Source organism: Homo sapiens, chromosome 11 (assembly GCF_000001405.40).
Source record: "Homo sapiens chromosome 11, GRCh38.p14 Primary Assembly".
NCBI classification, from domain to species: Eukaryota; Metazoa; Chordata; class Mammalia; order Primates; family Hominidae; genus Homo; species Homo sapiens.
The window spans coordinates 61,170,690-61,174,017 of NC_000011.10; positions in this window are offsets into that span (position 1 = coordinate 61,170,690).

Genomic DNA, 3,328 nt, shown 5'->3' on the forward strand with positions numbered 1-3,328 from the left:
AGCCAGGCTCCGTCCCATTAGGTTGAGCCCCCAGGAACTCTGAGCTTTGGCGGCCACTGCAGCTCCCTACACTTGGATCCGTATTGGTCTCTGGGCAAGGACCTGCCCAGGAACGTTGCGAAGGTTCTCAAGTCTTTGGAAAGGACATGGTATCAGCTGATAAGGCCACAGGGAGTCAAACAAATCCCCCCAACCCCTAAGGCTAGCTGGACATCAGAATGAAAGGGCAGTCTCTCTTCTGGGAAGCATCCCAGAAGAGCCCTCGGACCAGCTGGAGGTCAGACAGCCTCTGCTTGATCCCCGTGCAGGCCTGGAGGCTCCCAAAGCAGCCTGTTCATTCCTTCCTCCTACTCCATAGAATCCTGTGAGATTTCCAGACCAGGACAAAGTCAGAAAAACTAGAGGGAAGCAGGGTGCAGTGGCTCATGCCATAATCCCAGCACTTTGGGAGGCCAAGGTGGGCGGATCACTTGAGGTCAGGAGTTCAAGACCAGCCTGGCCAACATGGCGAAACCCCGTCTCTACTAAAAATACAAAAGTTAGCTAGGCATGCCAGCAGGCACTTGTAGTCCCAGCTACTCAGGAGGCTGAGGCAGGGGAATTGCTTGAACCCGAGAGGCGGCGGTTGCAGTGAGCCAAGATTGTGCCACTGCACTCCAGCCTAGGCAACAGAGCAAGACTCCATCTCAAAAAAAAAAAAAAAAAAAAGGAAAAGAAAAGAAATAAAAGGAAAATTAGGGGGAATGGGGGCTGAGTTTAGACACCATGGTGATCACCCTCTTAGCCACAGCCTCGTCTGCCGCAGGGTGACATGGCAATGCCTTCGGTCACTGGGCAGGTCACAGAGATGCCACTCCAAGGGCCCAAGCCAGGGCAAGGACAATTCCTAGGGTATCCTGCCAGGTCCTCCCAAAGCCACATGCTCAGAAATGAGACCTACCTAGGATCATAAGTTCTGCCTCTTTCTGTGGCCCAGAATTGGGAGCATAACCAGCCTCAGCTGTGTAAGGAAGCCATCACCCCTCTTTCCCCCAGAGAGGGCTTCCTCCTTCTTTCATTTCTGGGGGGATTTTCTGTTTTCTTTTTTTAGATATGGAGTCACACTCTGTCTTCCAGGCTGGAGTGCAGTGGTGCGATCACAGCTCACTGCAGCCTCCAATTCCTGGGCCCAAGTAATCCTCCCACCTCAGCCTCCCAAGTAGCTGGCACTACAGGTGTGTGCCACCACACCCAGCTTTTTCCTCTTCATTTCTAACATGGCACTTACCCCTCTATTTACCTCCCCATTCTCATTTAACTTCATCTTCTAAACACCGGCTTGGGTGGGGGTTTTCTTCAGTACAGTCCTAGAATACCACAAAGCCATTAATTGTCACCTGTCACCCTCAAAGCACTGCCCTAGCCTGCAGTATTAAATATTCATTCATTCTTTCCTTCAGCCATGAGAACAGGAAGGAAATTAACATTTCAAAACATTACACGCCTCTTCACCCCTGCAAGGTGCTTGTACATAGTTCAAATAACAAGCTTAAGTTGATAACAGAAGTTGTTATCAAATAAAAGTTAAATCCGCCTCCCTATAATTCCCAGTCTTTGTCCCTATGCTACTCTGAACATTTGCTATCGAATAAGTCTAGTCCCTTGTTTTTGCAAAAAACTTTTAGATATTTGTGGTTGGCCCTCAAGCTCCACCGAAGTCTTGATTTTCCAGTCTAAGCAACCCCTCAAAATGTCTGTCTGGTCTCCATCTTCCCCACCTCCTCCCACCAACCCTTTCTCCCCAGTCTCTCTCTTTCCAATGAAAGGGAGGGTTGGAGACCGGAGGGCCTGACTTTCACTCACTGTCCAGTGCTTCCCCAACCCGTTTCTCTGGCTTCCCTCTCTGTTTGATGTTTCGTGCTTCCTTCCTCTTCTCTTGGCTCTGGCGCCCTTCTCATGTTTAAACCTCACTTTCCTCTCTTCTGCTCCCTTCTTTGTAGGCTCATACCTCATCCACCCACCCAAAGCTCCTCATTGCCTACAGGAAACATTCCAAGTGCCTAACCATGGCACTCAAAGCCTACCATGATGTAGTCCTTGCTCTCCTTCCCCATGTTAAGCCGTAAATCATTAGCAGTGTTCTCCAGAGTTTCCTAGTCCTCATTCTAAAACCATGTTGAATTATACTTCCATAATCCCTTGAAATTTGGCGTCACTTGGGCCAATGAAGTGCAAATAGTGGTGACCCATTTCACTCCTGCAGACACTTCTGATGTGGCCGGTGCATGAGTTGGCATGTGCCTCTCCCCCTGCTGTGGCCACCAGTGACACCATAGATGGTGAAGTCTCCATCGGTCTGCATCTCTGAGTGAAAACGTCTCAAACCAGAGCCCTAGATGACCTGTAATGGACATATAGGGAAAGCAAAAGAGAAACCTTCTTATTGTGAAATTGGGTGTTGCTTGTTACTGCAGCATATACTGCCCATGCTGACTAATATCATGCATCAACTGGGCCCATGACCCTTACCATCTAACCTTACCAGGTGACTTACAATCCTTTAGGTCTATTATCATGCCAGTGCTGCCCTCTTTGGTGTTCCCTCCTCCCCATGCCCATTTGGCAAAGTTCTCTCATCCACTGAGACTCGGCTCAGTTGCCACCTCCACTAGGGAGACTTCCTAACTTTCCACCTAAGGCAGCATTGGGCATCCTCTTTGCAGGATGCCCAGGGCATGCCTCTATTGCAGTGCTGCCACATTACCTTTCTAAATGTTTTGTTTCCTGGACTTCAGGGCCACTGCTAGCCCATTTGGAGCCTTCGTTAGATTCAGAAAAAGCTGGCCTCCTCCAGGTGGCTGCAGCTGCCCAGGTGCATGGCTCAGCAGTGAATCATGACCTGACTTCAGGTCTTCTTCCCCCATGGCCTGACACCTGTGTTCTGGGCACAAATTGTACAATGTCCTCCATGGCCCTGTCTGCAAGGCTATTCATAAACAGCGAGCAATTTATGAACTTGGCTTCGAGCACCCTCAAGTGTTCACTGAAAGAATGAATATTTCCTAATAGATGAGACCTGTCCTCAATTATCCCTTCCTCCTCCCACCCGTCCTCTCCTCCTTTTGTTCTGCCTCATTTCCTGACCTCCCAAGCCCAGTACTAATGAGCTGCAGAGTGGCCAAGAGCCTAGAATTTGTAGTCAGACAGACCTAGTTCAAATCTTGACTCTACCACTTACTTGCCATAAATCCTTGAGGAAGTTACTTAGCTCCTCTAAGCCTCAGTTTCCTCATCTATAAATTGGAGACATTATCAGCTTCACAGGGCGCCCACAAAGAGCACATGGGAA